This window comes from Homo sapiens, chromosome 1 (genome assembly GCF_000001405.40).
Source record: "Homo sapiens chromosome 1, GRCh38.p14 Primary Assembly".
NCBI classification, from domain to species: Eukaryota; Metazoa; Chordata; class Mammalia; order Primates; family Hominidae; genus Homo; species Homo sapiens.
The window spans coordinates 6,009,891-6,032,718 of NC_000001.11; the positions used below are offsets into that span (position 1 = coordinate 6,009,891).

Below are 22,828 nucleotides of genomic sequence, written 5' to 3' on the forward strand. Positions count from 1 at the left end.
GACAGGGTCTCACTCTGCCGCCCAGGCTGGAATGCAGTGGCGCAATCTTATCTCACTGCAACCTCCAACTCCCAGGCTCAGGCGATTCTCCTGCCTCGGCCTCTGGTGTAGCTGGGATTACAGGCACACATCACCACACCCAGCTAATTTTTGTATTTTTAGTAGAGAAGGGGTTTCGGTTTCACCACGTTGGCCAGGCTGGTCTCAAACTCCTGGCCCCAAGTGATCCACCCGCCTCAGCCTCCCAAAGTGCTGGCATTACAGGTGTGAGCCACCGTGTCCAGTCATATGTGCCATTTCTTAGCTTGCATTTCCTTTTTAGTTAGTTAAACTTATTTCTTAAATAAGCTTATTTTAAACTGAAACTTGATGTCCCTGCAATAAAGAACCAGCATTACTTGTCATCAATAAAAGGTAACTGGAGGCAGGCATGGTGGCTCACACCTGTAGTCCCATCTGCTTTCGAGGCTGAGGCAGGAGGATCTCTTGAACCCGAGAGTTCAAGTTCAACCTGGGCAACATAGCAAGACCTCCGGCCCTTAAAAAAATAAAAAGTAACTGGAAAAATAAGTGGATCAATATTAACTTCAAGGCCTGTCTCAAGTGTGGCCAAGGCTGTCTCAAGGCAGCACAGGCCTTGCTCTGAACAGCCCTGGATGAGCCACAGCTGTGTCTGGGGATTGAAGAGAGTGCCCCTGGCCCCTCCCTGCTCCGGTCACCCCCAGTTCCTTTAGTTCACAGCCCTCCATGTTGTCAAGGGCTGAGGAGTCCCTCCTCGTCCCTGCTCAGGTGAACACAGGAAATGGGGAAGCCCAGGGTGGGGTGGGCCGCCCCATCTTCCCCTTAGCTGATGGGCAGGCTGGATGGGCAGGGAGGGTCTTTCCTGGGAAGGTAGTGGCCCGGGAGCTGGGCTGGCCCTCGAGTGTTGAAGATTTAACTTGAAAGCCATGAGGGCGCTCTTCCCCAGAAATCATCGTGGAAGCGGCGAATGAGTGGCAGGAGGTGCATGGACAGTCCTGGCTCTGCAGGCGAGCAGCCTGCCCCAGCTCTTTCCTCCTTAGAATTGTGTGACTTTAGCCACATCATTTAGAAGACACAGATGATAGAGGTGGTAGAAATGGAAAGTGCAACTCTCTACCTGCTGTTGCCCACCACCAGGACGACCACTGCAAATAGTGTGGGTGACCCGTTCAGACCTGGGACTCAGCCACACATTGGCCCCTGAGGCAGATGAAGTCCCCAGCAGATGGGGAGATGCAGCATTGCTCTGAGGGAGCAGCAGGAGTGAGGACAGGAGCTGCCACGTGCACAGGAGCAGGAGGGAAACAGGCAGGCAGCTGTGCCCAGGGCCAAGTGTGCAGGAGGCGAGGCAGGCAGCTGTGCCCAGGGCCAGGTGTGCGGGAGACAGGCAGGCGGCTGTGCCCAGGGCCAAGTGTGCGGGAGACAGGCAGGCGGCTGTGCCCAGGGCCAGGTGTGCGGGAGGCGAGGCAGGCAGCTGTGCCCAGGGCCAGGTGTGCGGGAGGCGAGGCAGGCAGCTGTGCCCAGGGCCAGGTGTGTGGGAGAGAGGCAGGCACGTGTGCCCAGGGCCAGGTGTGCAGGAGGAGAGGCAGGCAGATGTGCAGGGGCAGAGGGGGTTGAAGGATGGAAAGGTAGACAGGAGAGGCTGTGAATGGCTCTGGATGCCGAGCTGAGGCACTTGGACGTCATGCTGACAGCCCTGGACCTCCACGAAGGGCTTTTGAGAAAAGCATGGCATGAAAAGATCTGCTGTTGAGAAATAGAAACGGGGCTCTGGTGGCAGGTTGACAACCATGGTCCAGGCAGGAGCTTCCAAGGCAAGTGGTGGAGGTGGGCGAGAGGGAGAGTTCCAGGGATATCCGCGTGGATGGAGCCAACACCTGGAGCCCAGGGCAGGGGGGTGGGCTGAAGGGGCACCTGTGGGGCCCTTGCCTGTGGAGGTGAGAACTGCAGCTTGGAGAGCAGCAGAATTGCCCCCCGGAAGGTTGCTAGGGGAAGATTCCCAGAGAAGCTGAAAGCAGTAGTGCTCAGAGGACAATGAGCTGGCCTAGGATGGTGGAGGTGGAGGTGATGAAGGCAGAGGGGGCAGAGGCCATGGTGGTGGTAGAGGTGGAGGTGATGGAGGTGAAAGTGGAGGTGGTGGGTGGAGGTGATGAAGGTGGAGGTGATGAAGGTGGAGGTGATGAAAGTAGAGATGATGGGTGGAGGTGATGAAGGTGGAGGTGACGGGTGGAAGTGGAGGTGATGAAGGTGGAGGTGGTGGGTGGAGGTGGAGATGGAGGTAATGGTGGAGGTGATGAAGGCGGAGGTGATGGGTGGAGGTGGAGGTGATGAAGGCGGAGGTGGTGGGTGGAGGTGGAGATGGAGGCAGTGGTGGAGGTGATGAAGGCAGAGGTGGTGGGTGGAGGTGGAGATGGAGGTAGTGGTGGAGGTGATGAAGGCGGAGGTGGGTGGAGGTGGAGATGGAGGTAGTGGTGGAGGTGATGAAGGCGGAGGTGGAGGTGATGAAGGCGGAGGTGGTGGGTGGAGGTGGAGATGGAGGTAGTGGTGGAGGTGATGAAGGCGGAGGTGGAGGTGATGAAGGCGGAGGTGGGTGGAGGTGGAGATGGAGGTAGTGGTGGAGGTGATGAAGGCGGAGGTGGTGGGTGGAGGTGGAGATGGAGGCAGTGGTGGAGGTGATGAAGGCGGAGGTGGAGGTGATGAAGGCGGAGGTGGTGGGTGGAGGTGGAGATGGAGGTTGTGGTGGAGGTGATGAAGGTGGAGGTGGAGATGGAGGTAGTGGTGGAGGTGATGAAGGTGGAGAGGGTAGAGGTCATGGTGGAGGTGATGGGGGAGGAGGAGGTGATGGTGACAGAGATAGAGATGATTGAGATGGAGGGGCAGAGATCATGGTAGAGGTGGAGGTGACAGCAGTGGTGGTCGTGAGCTGTGTGTGTGTTTCTGTGCAGGTGCTCACCCATGCACGCATGCCCATGAGATGCCTGGCTCTCCACACACGCCCTGTGAGCCAGGCATCCTCTCGGTCAGGGATATAAGCCTGGGCCTGTGCAGGCTGCCCTCTCCCACTGTGGATCCCCTTGGAGGAGACTGCTGCAGCTGCAGGGCACCCTCTGTCGCCCTAAGAGGAGCAGCAGAACATGACCTCCCATCGCTCCACTTCCCACTGCTCTGCTTGGCTTCAGCCTCATGCTGGCATCTGTGTTATCTATAAGCAGAAAGCTGCTTGTTCAGAGCGGGCTGAGACACCTTCGTGCGTTCATCAAAAGCGTGCTGGGCACCAATGAGGTGTCAGTTCCTGTTCCGGGCATGAGGGATTCAGCAGGAAACGAGACAGACCCACCCCCTGCCCTCAGTGTCCCGCTGGGGCCAGTCAGGTGAACAGTCACACAGGCTGGGGTAGGCGCTTGGCAGAAGACACACTTGTGACGCTCAGAGCTCTCTGGAGCAGCCTCTCCGAAGAGATGAAATTTGAGCAGGAACCCCAAGGAACAGCATCCCAGGTAGAGGGATCTGAGTCTGCAAAGGCCCTGGGCACAAAAGAAACAACCACGCAATCCAGGGCTGGGGAGGAGCCCTGTCAGAGGACAGCACCAGCCTCCCCACGTGGATGCCCGACCAGCATCTGAGGTCAGACACAGCCGCCACTGGCTCCAGGGCTCCCCCACACCACTGCACCCACAACTCCCCTGTTTCAGAAACTGACCACTCACCTCTGGAAACCCAGGAGCCACCTGCACCCCTGTCTTCCCCCTACACCCCGCATCTGTCCGAAGACCCTGCGGTCTCAGCCTCTTGGATTGCCAGCCACTGGTCACCTCTGTCTCCCCGCCCTTGCCCAGGTGGCCCCAGCTCACACCTGCATTGCCTCGGAGACTCCTGACGACACCCACCCCCTGCTGCTGCCCGGGCCCCCCCAGCAGTCGGTTCTCAGTGATCTTGAGAAGCACCACTCAGCTCACCCTACGAGGAGGCCTTTGGCTGTTCCCGTATTTGTCTCTGGACTTCTCTGCTGGCCATAGAACAAGACTGTGCTTTAGAGGGTGGACTCCCAGAACTGCCACTCACCAGGTGACCAAGGCAGGCCAGCTTTACCTCTCCAAGCCTCAGTTTTCTCAGCTGTCATTTGTGCCTAAAACATAGTACTAACCTCATAGGATTATGGGGCAAAAATTACGCTGAATGAACGCACGGGAAAGCCCTTATCCCGAGGCCTCATTCAGACTGCACTGGGTCGCCAGCAGCTCTGACATCGCTGCCCACACATTAATACAGCCCAGGGCTGCTGCTCAGATGGGTGTCCTTCTCCTGCACCCACTGTACTGGGAGGGCACTTCCTGGATGTCCCTGGACCCCCGCCATCCAATGTCCAGCTTCAGCGTAGGACTTGGTGTCCGCAAGAATGAGGCCCACATCCAGGAGCAGGCCAGTTTCACGTGAAGCCCAGGGCTGAAGCCAGAGGCCACGCAGCACCACGTCGGACAGTGTTTATCTGTGCTAATCATGAAGTAACACAAGTGAGGTTTAAAAATACTACGCTTATTTCATTTCAGTGCAGGAGGGAGAAAGAACACACAGTCTGTATGAGCAACTCAAATCAAAAATAAATGAGGCAAAAGAGTCACCAAAAATAGTGTGGCATTAGAGACAGCAGCCTGCGTGGCTCGGCCAGCTGTCCTCGGCTCTCTGCCGGCAAGCAGCACCACAGAGAGGGCTGCGAGGATGCCTTGATGGTGTTTACTCCAGAGAAGATGAACCTGATGCCTGCGATCTGATGAGAAGTCACAGTTACCAGCAGGGAAGGTAGCACTGAGGGGACACACAGGGCACCCAAAGGTCTCTGGCATCCTCTCCTCCTCCCGTCACCCTCGCCAGGCAGTGAGGTCAGAGGCTAGGCTCGCAGGCAGCATGGGAACCACTTGGCCAGAAGTTTCCTCTTTGACCTGAAGGAGTTCCCCCTTCCAGACTCAGAGTGTCCCCACAGAAGGGCAGGGCTGTGGCTTGGACCCATGTGGGGCTCCAGCCCCCAGAGGAGCAGGACAGCATGTGCTGTACACAGCAAGAGGATTTGCACTTTTGCCTTAATTTTATTACAGACGGGGTCACCTTCCTTTTTTTTTTTTTTTTTTTTTTTTTTGTTTTTTGAGATGGAGTCTCACTCTGTCACCCAGGCTGGAGTGCAGTGGCGGGATCTCAGCTCACCACAACTTCCACCTCCCAGGTTCAAGTGATTCTCCTGCCTCAGCCTACCAAGTAGCCAGGACTACAGGTGCCCGCCACCATGCCCAGCTACTTTTTGTATTTTTAGTAGAGACGGTTTCATCATGTTGGCCAGGCTGATTTCGAACTCTTGACCTCCGGTGATCCACCCACCTCGGCCTCCCAAAGTGCTCAGATTACAGGCGTGAGCCCCTGTGCCTGGCCTCACCTTCCTTTTTTAATGTGTCAGAGGTCTGCAAATTATGGCCCAGGGGCCAGATCAGGCCCACCGTTTGTTTTTGTAAATAAGGTTTTATTGGAACACAGCCACGCCCTTCATTTACATATTTGCTGCTTTTGCACCCAGAGTTGAGTAATCGTAATCGAGATGGACTGGCCCGAAATGCCTAAAATATTTACTGTCTGTCCCATTGCTGCAAAAGTTTGCCCTTCCCTGCCATAGCTGCGTAAGCACCCTGGGGAAGCGTCCTGTCCGCTGAAGACAGCTCCAGTGTCGATGGGGCTTGGGTCAGTGTTGGGTTTGCTATGCTAATATTGATTTGGAGCTTTAGAGATTTTTGGTTGATTGGTTGGTTGGTTGGTTTTTGGGGGTTTTTTGAGACAGGATCTCGATCTGTCACCCAGGTTGGAGTGCAGTGTCGCAGTCATGGCCCAGTGCAGCCTCCACCTCCCCGGGCTCAAGTGATCCTCCCACTCAGCCTCCCAAGTAGCTGGGACCACAGGCATGCGCCACCACGCCTGGCTAATTTTTGTATTTTTTTGTAGAGACGGGGTTTTACCATGTTGCCCAGACTGGTCTGGAACTCCTGGGCTCAATCTGCCCACCTCGGCCTCCCAAAGTGTTAGGATTACAGGTGTGAGCCATCACACCCAGCCCCTAGAGATGTTTTTATTTAAAAAAGAAAGGAGATTCTGCAATAATGAGGTTTCTCTGATGCAAGGAACATCTTTTGTCCAGAGACATTTAGTCACTCGATGGGCCTCAAACCCCACCGTAAAGGAAGCACTACATTCCAGCCACCAGCACCCACCTGCTGCCTGCTGCCTGCTGACAGCTTCAGCTTTCAGAGCGAAGGAGGCTTCCCACGGACTCCCAGGGGCCAAGCAGGGTCCCCCAGACCACCCTGCTGGGCCACCCTCCAACATCTCCGAGTGAGGGGTGGGTGGGACTCCACAGGCCAGGGCTCAGGGAGGACCTCGCTCCTGGCGGGTCCTTTCCTGGGATGCACTGACGTCCCTTGGCTCTTCCCCAGCTTCCATGAGTCACAATGGAGCTATTTAAACCTGGGGCTGTGAGAACATGTCAATGTGTCCACCCCCTTGAGACCACAGGGCTTTCAAGACAGAGCATCCTTTCAATAGACCGTGGAGCCAAGTACTGAATTTGATGAGGCGTTTTCACGAGGCCTGTGTGAAACACTTAAAAATTGTGCATAACATGTGACTGGACAGGCGTCTACCAGAAAACAGTGCAAGGAGCTTTTAAGCCATGAGGTTTGCATCTGTAGGAAGGCTTTGGGGTGCTGCTCACACGCGGTGTGACTCGGGCGGGGCAGGCAGTAGACGGCAGCGGTGACACTGCAGTGACGCTATGGAGCATGGACACTAATACGTCCCACTGGACTTCTGCGTGGGCCCCAGACAGGAGCTTGACCAGCGTCAACTGGACCTGCTGCATCTGATCCTCTCCCAGAGTGAGGTTTTGAACAGAGATGGGCAGAACACCACTAATCACACCGCTGCTGAAATAGGTCTGCCTTCTGGGTACCGGTTATGAAAGCGGATTTGTGTGTCACATCCCCAGGAGAGGAGGTTATGGTCTCACAAGAGGAAAACCCAGCAGAATCCCAGAGTTGGCTGGAAAGTCAACAAACCACCTAAAACTCACCCACAAAATACCGTGACCAGGAGTATGCATGGAGACAGTGCCGAGCTCCGTACAGGCCGTCTGACTTCAGTGAGACCCCCTCCCCACCAAGACAGAGGAAAAGTCCTAGACTCAGGCCCACAAGGATGGGCAAATAGGGCTGGGGACGCAGGGTGCGTAGAGCAGAGGTGTAGATTCTGCAAGGGTGTGTGCAAAGCAGATAGGGGAGCACAGGTGTCTGCAGGGGAAGCATGGCCTTCTTATTGAGCTTTTTTTGAGATGAGGTCTCACACTGTCACCCAGGATGGAGTGCAGTGGCACGATCTTAGCTCACTGCAACCTGAGGCTCAGGCCATCCTCCCATCTCGGCCTCCCAGGTTGCTGGGACCACAGGTGCACATCACCATACCTGGCTGTGTGTGTGTGTGTGTGTGTGTGTGTGTGTGTATTTTTAGTAGAGATGGGTTTTCAGTATGTTGCTGGGCTGGTCTAGAATTCCAGGGCTCAAGAGATTTACCCACCAGGCATGGGTGGCTCACATCTGTAATCCCAGCACTTTGGGAGGCCGAGGCAGGCAGATCACTTGAGGTCAGGAGTTCGAGACCATCTTGGCCAACATAGTGAAACCCCATTGTAAAAAATACAAAAATTAGCCGGGCATGGTGGCAGGTGCCTGCAATCCCAGCTACTCGAGAGGCTGAGGCAGGAGAATTGCTTGAACCTGGGAGGCGGAGGTTGCAGTGAGCCAAGATAGCGCCTCTGCACTGCAGCCTGGGCGTCAGAGCAAGACTGTCTCAAAAAAAAAAAAAAACTTGGCCTCCCAAAGTGCTGGGATTACAGGCATAAGCCACCACACCCAGCCAGGCGTGGCCTAAAAGGCTGTGTTCCTGGAGGAGATGTTGTCCTGGAACAGGGTTCAGCAAAAAAAAATTTTTTTTTAGACAAGATCTCACTCAGTTGCCTAGGCGGGAATGCAATAGTGTGATCATAGGCGACTGCAGCCTTGACCTGCCAGGCTCAAGCAGTCTTCCCACCTGAGCCTTGCAAGTAGTTGGTACTACAGGCACACACCTGTAATCCCATAGCTGTAAACCACACCCAACTAATTTTTTTTGTAATTTTGTAGAAAAGGTGTCTCACTGTGTTGCCCAGGCTGGTTTTGAACTCAGCTCAAGCAATCCTCCCACCACAGCCTCCCAATCCCAAAGTGCTGGGATTACAAGCATGAGCCACTGCGCCCAGCCAGGCAAATGTTTTCATAGAGGACCAGATAGTCGATGTTTTCAGCTTGCAGGAAATTCAGTCTCTATTGCAACTACTCAGGTCTGCCATAGTAGCGTGAAAGCAGCCCCGGGCAATATGTAAATAGGTGCTGTGTACTGAATGTTTCTGTCCCCCAAGATTGATAGCCCTAATCCTCAATGTGATGGTATTAAGAGGTGGGGCTCTGGGGGTGATAAGGTTTAGATAAGCTCAGGTCTTGCTCTGTTGCCCAGGCTGGAGTGCAGTGGAGTGATCATGGCTCACTGCAGCCTGGGCCTCCTGGGATCGCTCAAGCGATCCTCCAACCTCAGCATCCCAAGTAGCTGGGACCACAGGTATGCACCACGACGCCCAGCTAATTTTTTTTATTTTGGGATAGAGGCCTCACGACAGGACTAGTGCCTTGGTAAGAAGAGGAAAAGGCCAGAGCTCCCTCCCTACCCTGTGTGGACCCAGCAGGAAGGAATTCTGTCTGCAAGAGAGAGCCCTCACCTGGAACCAAATCAGCCAGGACCCTGATGTTGGATTTACCAGCCTCCAGCACCGTGAGACAGAAACGTCTGCTGTTTCAGCCACCCAGGTTGTGGTATTTCATTATGGCATTCCCAAGCTCACTAAGATAACAAGATAGCTTGGCTACCTGGCAATAAAACTTTATTTATGGATGCTGAGATTGGGAACTTTATATAAATTTTGTGTGTTATGAAATGTTATTCTTCTTTTGGTTTTCTTTCGTTTAAAACTGTAAAAATTGGACTGGGCACAGTGGTTCACACCTGTAAGCCCAGCACTATGGGAGGCTGAGGCAAGAGGACAGTGTAAGGCCAAGAGTCTGAGACCAGCCTGGGCAACATAACAAGATTCTGTCTCTATAAAAAATTATAAAATTAGCCGGGGGTGGTGGCACACACATGTAGTTCCAGCTACTTGGGAGGCTGAGGCAGACGGATCACTTGAGCCCAGGAGTTCAAGGCTGCAGTGAGCTGTGATCATGCCACTGTACTCCAGCCTGGGCAACAGAGTAAGTTCCCTTCTCCTAAAAAAAATTAAATGAAATAAATAAAACTGTAAAAACTGTTCTTAGCTCGAGGGCTGCACAAACACAGGTGACAGGCTGGCGCAGCAGTTTTCCAACCCCTGTCCTACAGCAAGGAGGGAAGCCGTCACACTGCACTCTCTGCTGGCCAGCCGGTGTGCAGTGTTGCTCAGGTTCTGGGTGCCTCTGTCATTTAGGAAGGAATCAGCACCATTAAAAGAGAGTGGCAGGGTGCTGATGTTCCAGAGAGAAACTGTGCCGAATGATGGCTAATTAAGGCTCTGGAGTTGGGCACTGGAGCACCGGACTCCCTGCTCTCCAAAGCCCAGCTTGCCAGCCTCGACCTGAGCGTCTTCACTGATACAGCACCAACCCGAGGCTGGCCTGTAAGGTTTGGCGAGGGTCCAGTGTCACAGCCCACGTGCAGCACGTGCTGCACAGTGTCGGCCAAAATTATATTCATGGCTTAAGTCAGAAACCTTGTGTGGAAGGAGGGAAAGAAGCAAGGTTTGCTCTCAAGAACAAAGGGCCCGGTTGTAGATGGGGTGAGCTATGGCAGGTGTCCTCAGATGCTCCAGGGATTGTCCTAGACAGAGGGACTCACTTCGTTGTCAATCTCCGGAGGGCGGAGCAGGCCCAGCAGGTGAAAGTTATGAGGAAGCTGGTTTCCAATCAGCATGCAAAGGACCATGTTGTCATTTCAGTTGTCCCCAGTGGGATGATCTGCCTAGAGTTTCCCACAGGTGGAGGTCTTGCGGAGGGGGGTCATGCATCCCCCGGAGCCCTGTACCTGGGGTCCCGTCTCTGCATGCTCGGAGGCTTCACGACATGTAAACCTAGTTATCTTGGTAACACTTGGGGGATGTGCCCCCTCCCCACAGTCCTGGCCCAGAGGAATGAAGTTACATCAAAGCAAATTGATTCGGTCGTTGATCCTTATGTTGTAGAAATAGCTAGAAGCTATAAGGAGAACCACTGTGAGGTCCCCATTAAAGGAGAAGAATTTTGGTGGTCCCCAGACAGGGCTGGCTCGGGATCTCGTTCTGTGGTCAGGACCACCTGCTGCAGTACAGCCTCCCACCTCAGCCTCTCAGACTGCCACCTTCTGCCCCCAATCCAGCCTGAGATGCCCCCAGCACCACCCCTGCTGAAAACAGAAGCAGAACCTGATACTCAGCCTCTTCCATGACAAGAACACACCAGGATCGCGTCCCTTTCCAAGCAGAATTTTCCCGAAGCCCCACCCTCCTGGACTCGGGTTATGGACCGCCACAGGCCACCCCAGCTGGAAGAAAATTCAGGAAATATAGGGGTCATGGGTGACAGGTGGGCCAGCCAGCAACCGTATCTACCACATTTTTAAAATTTCTATTTTTATTATTTATTTATTTTTGAGACGGAGTCTCGCTCTGTCACCCAGGCTGGAGTGCAATAGTGCGATCTCGGCTCGCTGCAACCTCTGCCTCCTGGATTCAAGTGATTCTCTTGCTTCAGCCTCCTGAGTAGCTGGGATTACAAGTGCCCACCACCATGCCTGGCTAATTTTTGTGTAGAGATGGGGTTTCACCATGTTGGCCAGGCTGGTCTCGAACTCCTGACCTCAGGTGATCTGCCCGCCTCGGCCTCCCAAAGTGTTGGGATTACAGGCATGTAATCCCACCTGTAAACCTGTAAGGCCACCACACCCAGCCTAAAATTTTTATTTTCATATATATTTTTTGAGACAAAGTTTTGTTCTGTCACCCAGCTGAAGTACAGTGGCACAATCACAGCTCACTGCAGCCTCGACCTTCCAGGCTCAAGCCATCCTCCTGCCTCAGCCTCCCAAGTAGCCTGGACTGCAGGTGCACATCACCATGCCCAGCTAATTTTTTTATTTTATTTTTTGTAGAGACAGGGTTTCTCCATGTTGCCCAGGCTGGTCTTAAGTTCCTGGGCTCAAGCGATCCACCCACCACGGGCTCCCAAAGTGCTGAGATTACAGAGATTTCAGGCACGAGCCACCATGTGCCATGTTTATTGAGCCAGCTTAAATATTTGGCTTAAACACATACACCCAAATGTGGAGCTGCTGTTGACTCCATGATGCAGAAGTTTCTTTTTCTTTTTCTTTTTTCCCAGTTTTTTCTATTGTGGTAAAGGTACATATAAAATGTGCCATCTTAACCACTTTTAAGTGTACAGTTTAGTGGTATTAAGTATAAAATTCAATAGTATTAAGTGTATAGTTCAGTGGTATTAAGTGTACAGTTCAGTGGTATTGAGTATACAGTTCAGTGGTATTGAGGGTAAAGTGCAGTGGTATTGAGGGTATGGTTCAGTGGTATTGAGTATACAGTTCAGTGGTATTGAGTATACAGTTCAGTGGTATTGAGGGTAAAGTGCAGTGGTATTGAGGGTATGGTTCAGTGGTACTGAGTGTGTAGTTCAGTGGTATGAGTGTGTAGTTCGGTGGTATTGAGTGTACAGTTCAATGGTATTGAGTGTACAGTTCAGTGGTATTGAGTGTACAGTTCAGTGGTATTGAGGGTAAAGTGCAGTGGTATTGAGGGTAAAGTGCAGTGGTATTGAGGGTATGGTTCAGTGGTATTGAGTGTACAGTTCAGTGGTATTGAGGGTAAAGTGCAGTGGTATTGAGGGTAAAGTGCAGTAGCATTGAGGGTATGGTTCAGTGGTACTGAGTGTGTAGTTCAGTGGTACGAGTGTATAGTTCGGTGGTATTGAGTGTACAGTTCAGTGGTATTGAGGGCACAGTTCAGTGGTATTGAGTGTGTCATTCAGTGGCATTGAGTGTACAGTTCAGTGGTATTAGGTGTATAGTTCAGTGGTATCGAGTGTGTAGTTCAGTGGTATTGAGTGTACAGTTCAGTGGTATTGAGTGTCTAGTTCAGTGGTATTGAGTGCGTAAATTCAGTGGTATTGAGTGTACAGTTCAGTGGTATCCAGTGGGTAGTTCAGTGGTATTGAGTGTATAGTTCAGTGGTATTGAGTGTACAGTTCAGTGGTACTGAGTGTATGGCTCAGTGGTATTGAGTGTACAGTTCATTGGTATTGAGTGTACAGTTCGGTGGTATTAAGGATACAGCTAGTTGGTATTGAGGGTACAGCTCAGTGGTATTGAGTGTATAATTCAGTGGTATCGAGTGTGTAATTCAGTGGCATTGAGTGTACAGTTCAGTGGTATTGAGTGTGTAGTTCAGTGGTATTGAGTGTACAGTTCAGTGGTATTGAGTGTACAGTTCAGCGGTATTAAGTACATTCATAATATATGCACTACCATCACCACCATCCATCTCCAGAACCTTTTTATTCTCCCAAACTGAAATTCTGTCCCCATTAAACTGGAACTTCCCATTCCCCCTCCCCTGCCCCTGAGGGCCACCATTCTGCTTTCTGTCTCTAGGCACGTGACTACTCTAGGGACCTCAGATCATTGGAATTGTACAGTATTTGTCATTTTGTGACTGGCTTATTTCACCTAGCAGAATGTTCTCGAGACTCATCCGTGTTGTACCATATGTCAGCATTTCCTTCCTTTGTATGACTGAGGGATGTTCCCTTGCATGTGTGTGCCACATTTTGCTTATCTTTTTTTTTTTTTTTTTTTTTTTGAGACAGGGTCTCGCTGTCACCCAGGCTGGAGGGCAGTGGCGCGATCTTGGCTCACTGCAACCCCTGCCTCCTGGGTTCAAGTGATTCTCATGCCTCAGCCTCCTGAGCAGCTGGGATTACAGGTGCCTGCCATGACACCCAGCTAATTTTGTATTTTTAGTAGAGACGGGGTTTCGCCATGTTGGCCAGGCTGGTCTTGAACTCCTGACCTCAAGTGATCTGCCTGCCTTGGCCTCCCAAAGTGCTGGGATTACAGACATGAGCCACCATGTTCAGCCTTTGCGTATCTTTTTATCCATCAGTGAACCTGGGTTGTTTCCATGTTTTAGCTATTGCAAATCATGCTACTGTGAACACACGGGTACAAATATCCCTTTGAGACCCTGTTTGCAATTATTTAGGGTATATCCCCAGAAGTGGAATTGCTAGATCATATAGTAATTCGACTTTTAGTTTTCAAAGAACCACCATACTGTTTTCCATAGTGGCTGTACCATTTTACATTCCCACCAACAGTGCACAGGGTCCCCATTTCTCCACATCTTGCCAACCCTTATTATTCTGGGCTTTTTTATAGCGGCCATCCTAATGGCTGCGAGGTAGTATCTCACTGTGGTTTTGATTTGCATTTCCCTAATGGTTACTGACGTTGAGCACCTTTTAATGTGTTTATTAGCCATTTGTGTCTTGTCTTTGGAGAAGTATCTATTCAAGTCCTTTGCCGTTTTTGTAATTGGGCTGTTTGGTTTTCTGTTGAATTTTAGTTCTCTATGTATTCTGGATATTAATTCCTTATCAGATATGGGATTTGCAAGTATTTTCACTCACTCTGGGTTGCCTTATTACTGTTGATAGTGCCTTCTATTTTTCTTTACCTATTTATTTATAGAGGTGGGTCTTCTTATGTTGCCCAGGCTGGAGTCCAGTGGCATGATCATAACTCACTGTAGCCTCAAACTCCTGGGTTCAAGGGATCCTCCCACCTCAGCCTCCTAAATAGCTGGGACCACTGGCATGCACCACCATGAATGACTAATTTTTTTTTTTTTTTTCGAGATGGAAAGTTTCACTCTTGTCTCCCAGGCTGGAGTGCAATGGCACAATCTAGGCTCACTGCGACCTCCGCCTCCTGGGTTCAAGCAATTCTCCTGCCTCAGCCTTCCGAGTAGCTGGGATTACAGGCGCCCACCACCATGTCCAGCTAATTTTTGTATTTTTAGTAGAGACGGGGTTTCACCATGTTGGTCAGGCTGGTCTCGAACTCCTGACCTCAGGTGATCCACCCATCTCGGCCTCCCAAAGTTCTGGGATTACAGGCGTGAGACACCATGCCCAGCTGCCAGGCTAATTTTTAAATTTTTTGTTAGAGATTGGGTCTCACTATGTTGCCCAGACTGGTCTCGAACTCCTGGCCTCAAGCAATCCTCCCACCCTGGCCTCCAAAGTGCTGGGTTACAGGTGTGAGCCACCGCACCCAGCCAGTAGTGTCTTTTAAATGAAGTATCTCTAATTTTGCCACTCAGCATTTACCAGTCACCTGCCTTCCTGGTCCAAAGAAACTTTTTAAAAAAAGAGTTGGCAAATATCTGAAAATACAATTTATTTTTAAGAGCCAGGAATGAAGCTGAGGTTTGAGGGCTGGTTCAGTGTGTCTGAAACTGCGAAGCAGCCAGTGAGGTTACTTTCGCATCCCCTAGCTTTTACCTCTGCTCGTGAGATTCAGCATCTGCAGCTGTGGTCTGTGATAGCCGTGAATACAGTCTGTGTTTGGAGACCCACAGAGTCAGGGCAACATCTCCGTGCTGGGGGCCAAGAGGATAACGGCTGTTCTCTGGCTCTGGGAGGCAGCAGAGGTCACCTGTCCAGAGCCAGAGTTCCATGGGGGGCTCCAGGGCAGGAGGTCAAGGTATGTGTGAGGAAAGAACCCCAATTTCGAGCTGGACACACCTAGGCTCTGGTTCCAGCTTTGCCACTAATTTCACCAAGCGACCTTGGATGTTATTTAATATTCTTGGGCCTCAATTTCCCCATCTGTAAAAAGCATGTCATAGTCAGGGTTGGGAGCAAGGCCCAGAGCTGGCTCAACATGGGTTGCTGTCCCCCAGCTCTCCGTCATGGCGCCTCGCTCTTTCTTTTTCATTTTCCCATTCGTTCGCCTTCCTCCTTCTCCCTTCTCCCTCCTGTTTGTCTCTCGACACCTCTACTTTCCTAGTGAGCACCCAGACTATTTTATTTTCCCTTCCTTTTCCTCTTTCTACCTCCCCTAACCACTGTCTTTATCTTTATCCTGCCGGGAACACACAGCAGCACCCCTGGTGTAGGCTTCAGAGCTGTGTACCTATGCCAGGAGAGGGGGTGCCAGCCTCCCTCCTGGAATCACACACACGGGTGTGGCCTGGGACCAGGGACTCAACACGGTGCAGGTGGCTGGCACCATGGGAGATGGAATGTTCCACCCGAGTCCTCCCTTTGCCTGGTACCCCAAAGAGCTTGGGCTGTGCCCAGAGTGAGTCACCAGAGAGCCTGGCCCCAGGCTCAGCAGCTGGCGTAGGAGGGAGGAGGGGCCTCCCCAAGAAGGAATGAGGGGCCTCCCCAAGAAGGAATGGCAGAGCAGGGAGAGGCCGCGGGGAGGGAGAAAAACCCCGCAGAGGGTGCTCTTACCTCTGGCCCGTCCTCCCCAGGGCCACCTGTCCCCTCAAGGCGGCTGCCCCCTCTGTGTCCTGGCACAAAGTTGGGAGATGGAGTGGCAGAGCCTGCCCTGGGCTTCTCAGCAGTGCACAGCTCAGAGCACACTTTAGAGTCAGCCAGCCCTGAGTCCAGGGCTCTCTGACCCTTCGTGTTGTCACCTGTAGCATGGGGGGGCAGCAGTACCCCTTCCCAGGGCAGCAGGGAAGATAAGATGAGGGAGCGCAGGTAAAAGGTGGGCAGCCCACCCCAGCACACAGCCGATCCCGGCACACAGCCGATCCCGGCACACAGCCGATCCCGGCACACAGCCGATCCCGGCACACAGCCGATCCCGGCACACAGCCGATCCCGGCACACAGCCGATCCCGGCACACAGCCGATCCCGGCACACTGCTGGCAGCAGTGAGGGGAGCTCTTCAACATCACCAGAACCCTCTGCCCTGAGAAAGGGGCTCCTGGGCCGACAGGGAAGGTCTGCCTCCTACTCTGGAGGGGCCGCTTGGGGACAGGCCCGGGCTGTCTCCTCACAGCCACCTGCTTCCTGTCCTCTGCCTGTCTCCTGCCCCATCTGGCCGCTGCTCATCCAGGAAGGTCGGAGATGTCGGGCCCTCCCACCTGGGTCACGCGCTAGGCATGCCTGAGAGCAAAGGCCACGCCCCGACACCCCACGGGGCCCTGGCGCGCCAGGCTTCTCAGCCCTGCGGCGGCAGTGCATAGCTCTGGCACGCGCTGCACCAACTTCCTGTTGGGTGCTGTGGTCCCAAGGCGCGTGCTTTGCAGCAGATGTGTGACCTGGCGTTCCCCTGAGTGCTCGGAAAATGGCCTTGTCTCCGGTCGTTCCCGTTCAGGAGCAGGTACCTGGGGTGCTCCGGGGATCCCGTTGTCTAGGATGGGTTTTCTGTCTGACGGGTGGGCAGCCTCAGCTCCCTGAGCAGGGCTTAGGTCCCCCGTAATGTCCAGGGTTAATTGTGCCAGCCTGAACCCCTGAGCCCCGCATGCCCGCCTAGGGATTGGCCTCAGCCTGGGGTGAGCTGACCCCAAAGACACCCTGCCCAACGCAGCCCGGCCCTTCACTGCTTCCTGTTGCTGCTGCTGGACAGAGTGGGCCTGGCACCCAGCAGAGATGTCTGACGGCCGCACATTCTCCCCTGGCTTCTGCCTTCATCCCTGGGATGATGTTGAGGGAGACGCCGGAAGATGGAGAGCCATGTGGGGCCACCTCTGTCCCTCTGCAGGGGGCAGGGCTGGCAGCTCCTGGGGAGAGCCCTGCCCATCTTGTCTGCTGTCTCTCGGGAGGCCCTGGCCTGGGGATTCCCATCTCTGAGTGGAAGGCGCGAAGGCCCCTGCCTTGAACATGGATGGCGTGGGTCCCCAGTCCCTCCTCTCTCCCCTCCCCCTTGGGGCTGAGCACAGGGCAGTGGTGGGGGATAAAGACCCCTCAGAACACTTCCCCACCCTGCAACCCCTTGCACAGCCCTGAGTCACTGTCCCAGAGGGGAGGGCAAGGGGCTCCCTGGTGATGGCTTCCTGCGTCCCCTCTCACTTGCCTCCTCCATTTCCCCTGGGCAGGATATGGGTGCAGGGTGTGGTCTTGGAGGGAGGAGGCTGTAAGCCTCCTGGGGGACACAGTGTGTGTGTGTGTGTGTGTGTGTGTGTGTGTGTGTGTGTGTGTGTGTGTGTGTGGACGGCTGAAGGGAGGAGGCCGGGGGCCTGGGTGTGCGGCTATGGGGACTGAACTGTCGAGGGCTCCTGCTGCCTCTGCAGGGGACAGGCCCTGCCAGCTACTGAGTGAGCAGCCTGCGGCAGCCCTGACTCACTGCGGGTCGTGCCGTCTGTGCAGCACTGGGGTACCCACCACCCAGTGCCAGGTGAGCGGCCCTGCACGGCACCGTAGTTTCCACCTGTGGTCACTGAGAGGCAGGATGGAGCTAGGGCAGGCATGGGAATTTTTTGGCTGTGGTCTATTTTTTGTTCATTGCAGCATTGATTACATGTGAATGTGGACTGTTCTTGCAAAAGTCTAGACCTGTCGTATTTGTAATCAGGGAACAGGCATTGAACGTTGCTTTGAAGAGATTGAAATTTCTAGCTTGTGATCTTCTTGAAAATTGTTAATGAGGCGTTGATGTGATGTACCATCAAATGCTCCGTTCGGCAGTCATGACCTTGGGCACCGTGGTTAGGTCCCAATGCTTCTGCTGTTGACTGAACCATGTGACATCTGTCGCCGTGCCACTGGTCCCCTCGGCTCAGGCCTCAGGAGATTGGAGGAGAGACTGAGGTTTCTCTGTGACAAACACAGGGAATCCTGACTGGGATCTCCAATCTCTAGTAAGGTTTGCACAGTTCTTCTCCTCGCATTTCTTTGGCTGCATCTGAGCCAAAGTCTGGATGGAGCTGTCGGGGAACTGGGTTATGTTGACCTCCCAACCCCTGCCCACCCTCTGGGGTGTCCTTCTGACAAATGGGCCTTTCTTCCAGATCCCCATCATGACCCACCAGGCCAACGGCCCCCTAGGGTCTTGACCCCAGTGCACTCAGAGTCAGCACCTGCCTTCGTTGCAGCATTGACCCTCTGCCATCAGATCCCACCCAGGGAAGGAATGGGCTCCTGTGTGGGCTCCTGGCTTCTGGGTGAGAGGGGAAGTGTGTGTTGTGTAAGTGCCCTTCTGTGTCATGCGGTTTTGAGCAGTTATACCTCTTCCTGTCTCCGCTGGAAGCACAGTCACTGCCATGGCTCCTCTAGGCTCTGGCACGCAGAACAAGCAGACCATGGTTTTGTGTTATACAGTAGTCACGGCAGATACTTCGGGGGCTTGGCAGGGGGGACCTCCGGGGTTCCAGAAGCAACATGCAAAATAACATCAGTTCAACAAGCAGGTGCTGGAGTCCTCGCCCCGAGGCCTTCCGGAAGACACCCAGGACGTCACACCTAGCCCAGAACAGCCCCCCTCTCTCCATCCCTTCTGCGATGTTCACTAGGCATTACCACATGCTGGTGGCCGCTCTGGGTGCGGGGGTACATCCGTGAAGGAAAGAGATGAAGCTCCCTGCCCAGAGGAGCTGACCTCCCAGCAGTCTTACAGGATATGGTTACAGAGGTGAATCTGGGGGAGAGTCCATCGTTGGTGTTGCTCCACTGACCTCCAGGATGGCCTCCAGGGACCCCGCCTCCTGGTGGCCACTGTCCCCATCGTATTAGAGTTGGCCTTTTGAAAGCTGTGAGTCCAAGTTGCCTGGCAAATAGATAAGGAATACAAGGTGATCATTCTTAAGACCTCGGGGATCTGCAAACCAGCCTTCTGGAACCTTTGAGCTTCCAGGATGATTCGGAATTTGGATGCAGCCACAGAAAGCCTAAGCGCCACAAGTCCCGCCATGACGCCCTGAGGCGTGGGTTCACACTTGGGTGTGGCTGGTCACGTCTATAAAAATGAGCCTTCACTTTGGGAGGCCCAGGCGAGTGGATCACAAGGTCAGGAGATCAAGACCATCCTGGCCAACATGGTGAAACCCTGTCTCTACTAAAAAATACAAAAAAATTAGCCAGGCATGGCAGCGTGTGCCTGTAGTCCCAGCTACTCAGAAGGCTGAGGCAGGAGACTTGCTTGAACCCAGGAGGCAGAGGCTGCAGTGAGCCGAGATCGCGCCATTGCACTCCAGCCCGGGCGACTGAAGAGACTCCATCTCAAAAAAAAAAAAAAAAAAAAGATGAGCCTTTTCTGGGAAAGTGGAAAAGACAGAGAAGCCTCCTGACAGCCAAGGAGACCAGCAGCCAGTAGAGCAGGTGTTGTAACAAGGCCGAGGACCCTCAGACACCAATTTTGCTGGTAAGACCGCTGCCCAGGATGCACCGTACAAGAGCAGCTTCACCTGCCTTCATGCAGATGGCACAGATGTCCAGGAAGCAGCTGTGGTCAGTGACTCCCCAGGAGTCACACCCAGACCTGGGGCCAGAGCCATCCCTGCACCTCTGCCTGATGTGACACCAGGGCGGGGCACAGGCTAGTCCCAGCTCCTGCAGCCCCCGCTGCACACCCCTACCTGTTAGCACACTGAGTCCTCCCTCATTATCATCCCATTTTACAGATGGAGAAACTGACACAGGGAAGGCTGAGAGAATTGCCCAAGGTCATAGACCAGCACATGGCAGAGCCAGTGCCAACTCCAAAGCCCAGATCCGAACCACTGAGTGGGCCTAACCTCCTTCCCAGGAACCCAGACTGATCGCCTCAGGTCACCCAAAGGGGATGGAATAGTGTCATCAACCAGCTCCCAAAGAAGATCAGAGCATGTGCAGTCAGCACTGGCAAGATTTCAGCTTAGAGAGAGATCCTCTCCAGCCTCAAAGTACCGACTTTGGATCAAGACTTCTCACTAAAGGAAGGTTCCGGCCAGCTCAAATTTTTTGTACTCCAGAATCTGCAATAAAGAGACAGATAATGTCTTTTGCAGAAACTGGAAGTAGGTTTCCAGGTACCCACTGGACTTATAATTCAATGTTTATAAGTATGACCCTGGAGATTAAATCAAAGCAGAACTTGCTCCCTGGAGCCCTGGGGTTAAGCGCTAAGATGAATTCTGTATAATGATGCTGCTGGTAGCTACAGCGAGCATTTATTTATCATGCACTCATGGAGCAGCTGGTTCCATGTCACAGAGAAGCTGGGGTTGCCTGGTCCAGGTGGGGTGGCTCTTGCATATGTAGCAGGGTGGACTGGGGCGTGCCTGTCCCATGATCATGGCAGAGGTTCAGGGGCAAGTCTCCTGTGACTGAGACATCTGATCACCTTCCGGTGGCCAAAGCAAGTCACATGGTTGCACAGGAGCGCAAGGCTAGGAATTCACCCCTCCAACGTGTGTGTGTGTGTGTGTGTATGTGCATATGTACGTGTGTCTGTGCATTGTGTATATGTGTTATGTATGTATGTGTGTATGTGTGTGTACATATGTGTGTATGTGTGTATGTCTATGTGTGTATGTGTGTAGGTATGTTTGTATGTGTATGTATCTGTATGTGTGTAGGTATGTGTGTATGTGTGTGTAGGTATGTGTATATGTATGTACGTGTATGGGGTGTGTGTATGTGTGTTTGTGTGTATGTGTGTGTGTATGTGTGTAGGTATGTGTATGTTTATGTGTGTTTATGTGTGTATATGTGTGTATGTGTACGTGTGTGTAGATATGTGTGTGTATGTGTGTAGGTGTGTAGGTGTGTGTGTATATGTGTGTATGTGTAAGTATATGTGTGTAGGTATGTGTGTGTATGTATGTGTAGGTGTGTGTATGTATGTGTAGGTGTGTGTATGTGAATAGGTATGTTTGTATGTGTAGGGGTGTGTGTGTGTGTGTGTGTTGGGAGAGGCAGCAAAGTCACACAGCAAAGGACATGGATGCTGGGAGAAGTGAGGCATTGGGTGTCAGTAACTCCACCTCCCATACCCTTATGCCCTCCCTATGCAAATCAGGTGCCAGCTCCATCAACCAGAACATGTGGGTAACCATAACAGGTTGTCCCCACACCAGGTCAAATCAGAAAGTGTCTTCTATTATTTTGTGTCTCTGTCCTTGACTCCTGGGCTCAGTCCTGACCTTTCCTTGTGGTTTCTTGGCTTAAGCCATTCATTTATTTCCTTCTCTCACCTGGGTGCACTGACTTCTTCCCATCTCATGCAAGCAGCTCAGGTGGCTCCGACAGGGTACAGATTCCCTTTGATGCTGAGGTTGAAGGAATCAGAGACAGTGCCCCCAAAGCTCCTACTCAGACCTCCCAGGGCACATTTGCGCCCAATATAATAGTCATTTACCATTAACTCCAACAGAGAAATTGTGGTCCCAGGCCCCCCATTCTGCAGATGAGAAAACTGAGGCTCCAAGAGAGGCCCTCGCCTTGGTTGGCTGTGCCCCCGGGAGTTTTGCTCCATTTATCCATTTAGTCTGGGGCTGCTCTTCCTTGTGTGTCCTTGCCTAGAATTATGTATGGGTCCACCTTTTCCAAAAATCTGCCAGCCCTGGCCGGGTGCAGTGGCTCACGCCTGTAATCCCAACCCTTTGGGAGACTGAGGCAGGAGGATGGCTTGAGCCCAGGAGTTTGAGACCAGCCTGGGCTGCAGAGTAAGGCCTCATCTCTATTAAAAAAAAAAAAAAAATAGCCAGGCTGGGTGGCACACATCTCTGATCCCAGCTAATTGGGAGGCTGAGGTGGAAGGATCCCTTGAGCCCCATAGGTCAGGGCTGCAGTGAGCCGTGATCATGCCACTGCACTCCAGCCTGGGGAACAAAGCAAGACCCTGTCTCAAAAAAAGAAAGAAAGAGAGAGGGGCATGGGGCAGCGTGGAGAGGAAACTGCCAGCCCTAAATCTCATGACTTAGGCTTGCCCCAGGAGCCAGAGTCCCATAAAGGGGCACTATGGGCCTTCCATCAGTCCCTGAAAGAGTCTCACCAGCAATGCCTTCCTGGGGCTATGGCTTTGATGACAGTTCAAGACCCCCAGGATCCCTTTCTGTGTTTAAACAAACTTGGCTTCCTGTCCTCTCACCAACTCTTGCATTCAGAGCTCAAACTGGCAACATACTTGGCCTTTCTAGAAAAACTGCAGTTGAGAAAACACCTCCACTGAGGGGTCATAGGGGAACCGAATATTCACACAGCCTTCAAGAACCTCCCCTGTGATTCCTGGTTAATCATGAAAAAAAGAAAGAGCAGTGGCCGGTTGCGGTGGCTCACACCTGTAATCCCAGCACTTTGGGAGGCCAAGGCAGGCAGATCACAAGGTCAAGAGATTGAGACCATCCTGGCCAACATGGTGAAACCATGTCTACTAAAAATACAAGAATTAGCTGGGCATGGTGGCACGCGCCTGTAGTCCCAGCTACTTGGGAGGCTGAGGCAGGAGAATCACTTGAACCCAGGAGGCAGAGGTTGCAGTGAGCCAAGATCATGCCACTGCAGTCCAGCCTGGCAACAGACTGAGACTCTGTTAAAAAAAAAAAAGAGAGAGAGAGAGAAAGCAAGCAAGAAAGAAAGAGAAAGAAAGAAAAGGAAGGAAAGAAGGAAGGAAAAAGAAAAGAAAAGAAAGAGCTATGCCCTGGCAGACACCACCTTAACCAAATGGCCAGACCTGGTC

The 22,828-nt window shown here is 52.8% G+C and overlaps 1 protein-coding gene across 10 annotated transcripts in view, besides 8 other annotated features; it reads left to right on the top strand.

Moving 5' to 3' along the window:
• KCNAB2 (potassium voltage-gated channel subfamily A regulatory beta subunit 2) overlaps positions 1-22,828 on the top strand; it is a 108,505-nt gene that overhangs the window by 17,215 nt on the left and 68,462 nt on the right. For 3 of the 10 annotated variants that reach the window (XM_047432866.1, XM_047432870.1, XM_047432872.1), the window contains exon 2: positions 8,745-8,945. The exons of 4 other annotated variants lie outside the window; for them this stretch is intronic. The gene's annotated coding sequence lies outside the window, so the exon portion shown is untranslated. Of the gene's footprint in view, positions 1-8,744; positions 8,946-16,442; positions 16,556-22,828 lie in introns of those variants that run through there. 3 more of the 10 variants (XM_011542322.3, NM_003636.4, NM_172130.3) reach the window with 1 other exon arrangement.
• Positions 1,023-1,524: an enhancer, noted in NCBI's record as "H3K4me1 hESC enhancer chr1:6070973-6071474 (GRCh37/hg19 assembly coordinates)". NCBI's record gives its function as "activates a minimal SCP1, AML or CMV promoter by ChIP-STARR-seq in primed H9 embryonic stem cells {active_cell/tissue: H9 hESC(primed)}" and the evidence as "EXISTENCE:reporter gene assay evidence [ECO:0000049][PMID:30033119]".
• Positions 2,791-3,292: an enhancer, noted in NCBI's record as "H3K4me1 hESC enhancer chr1:6072741-6073242 (GRCh37/hg19 assembly coordinates)". NCBI's record gives its function as "activates a minimal SCP1, AML or CMV promoter by ChIP-STARR-seq in naive H9 embryonic stem cells {active_cell/tissue: H9 hESC(naive)}" and the evidence as "EXISTENCE:reporter gene assay evidence [ECO:0000049][PMID:30033119]".
• Positions 14,904-15,668: an enhancer, noted in NCBI's record as "H3K27ac-H3K4me1 hESC enhancer chr1:6084854-6085618 (GRCh37/hg19 assembly coordinates)". NCBI's record gives its function as "activates a minimal SCP1, AML or CMV promoter by ChIP-STARR-seq in naive H9 embryonic stem cells {active_cell/tissue: H9 hESC(naive)}" and the evidence as "EXISTENCE:reporter gene assay evidence [ECO:0000049][PMID:30033119]".
• Positions 15,949-16,258: an enhancer, noted in NCBI's record as "active region_71". NCBI's record gives its function as "activates an Ori minimal core promoter by ATAC-STARR-seq in GM12878 lymphoblastoid cells {active_cell/tissue: GM12878}" and the evidence as "EXISTENCE:reporter gene assay evidence [ECO:0000049][PMID:35858748]".
• Positions 16,432-17,195: an enhancer, noted in NCBI's record as "H3K27ac-H3K4me1 hESC enhancer chr1:6086382-6087145 (GRCh37/hg19 assembly coordinates)". NCBI's record gives its function as "activates a minimal SCP1, AML or CMV promoter by ChIP-STARR-seq in naive H9 embryonic stem cells {active_cell/tissue: H9 hESC(naive)}" and the evidence as "EXISTENCE:reporter gene assay evidence [ECO:0000049][PMID:30033119]".
• Positions 16,699-16,868: an enhancer, noted in NCBI's record as "active region_72". NCBI's record gives its function as "activates an Ori minimal core promoter by ATAC-STARR-seq in GM12878 lymphoblastoid cells {active_cell/tissue: GM12878}" and the evidence as "EXISTENCE:reporter gene assay evidence [ECO:0000049][PMID:35858748]".
• Positions 18,449-18,498: an enhancer, noted in NCBI's record as "active region_73". NCBI's record gives its function as "activates an Ori minimal core promoter by ATAC-STARR-seq in GM12878 lymphoblastoid cells {active_cell/tissue: GM12878}" and the evidence as "EXISTENCE:reporter gene assay evidence [ECO:0000049][PMID:35858748]".
• Positions 18,549-18,618: an enhancer, noted in NCBI's record as "active region_74". NCBI's record gives its function as "activates an Ori minimal core promoter by ATAC-STARR-seq in GM12878 lymphoblastoid cells {active_cell/tissue: GM12878}" and the evidence as "EXISTENCE:reporter gene assay evidence [ECO:0000049][PMID:35858748]".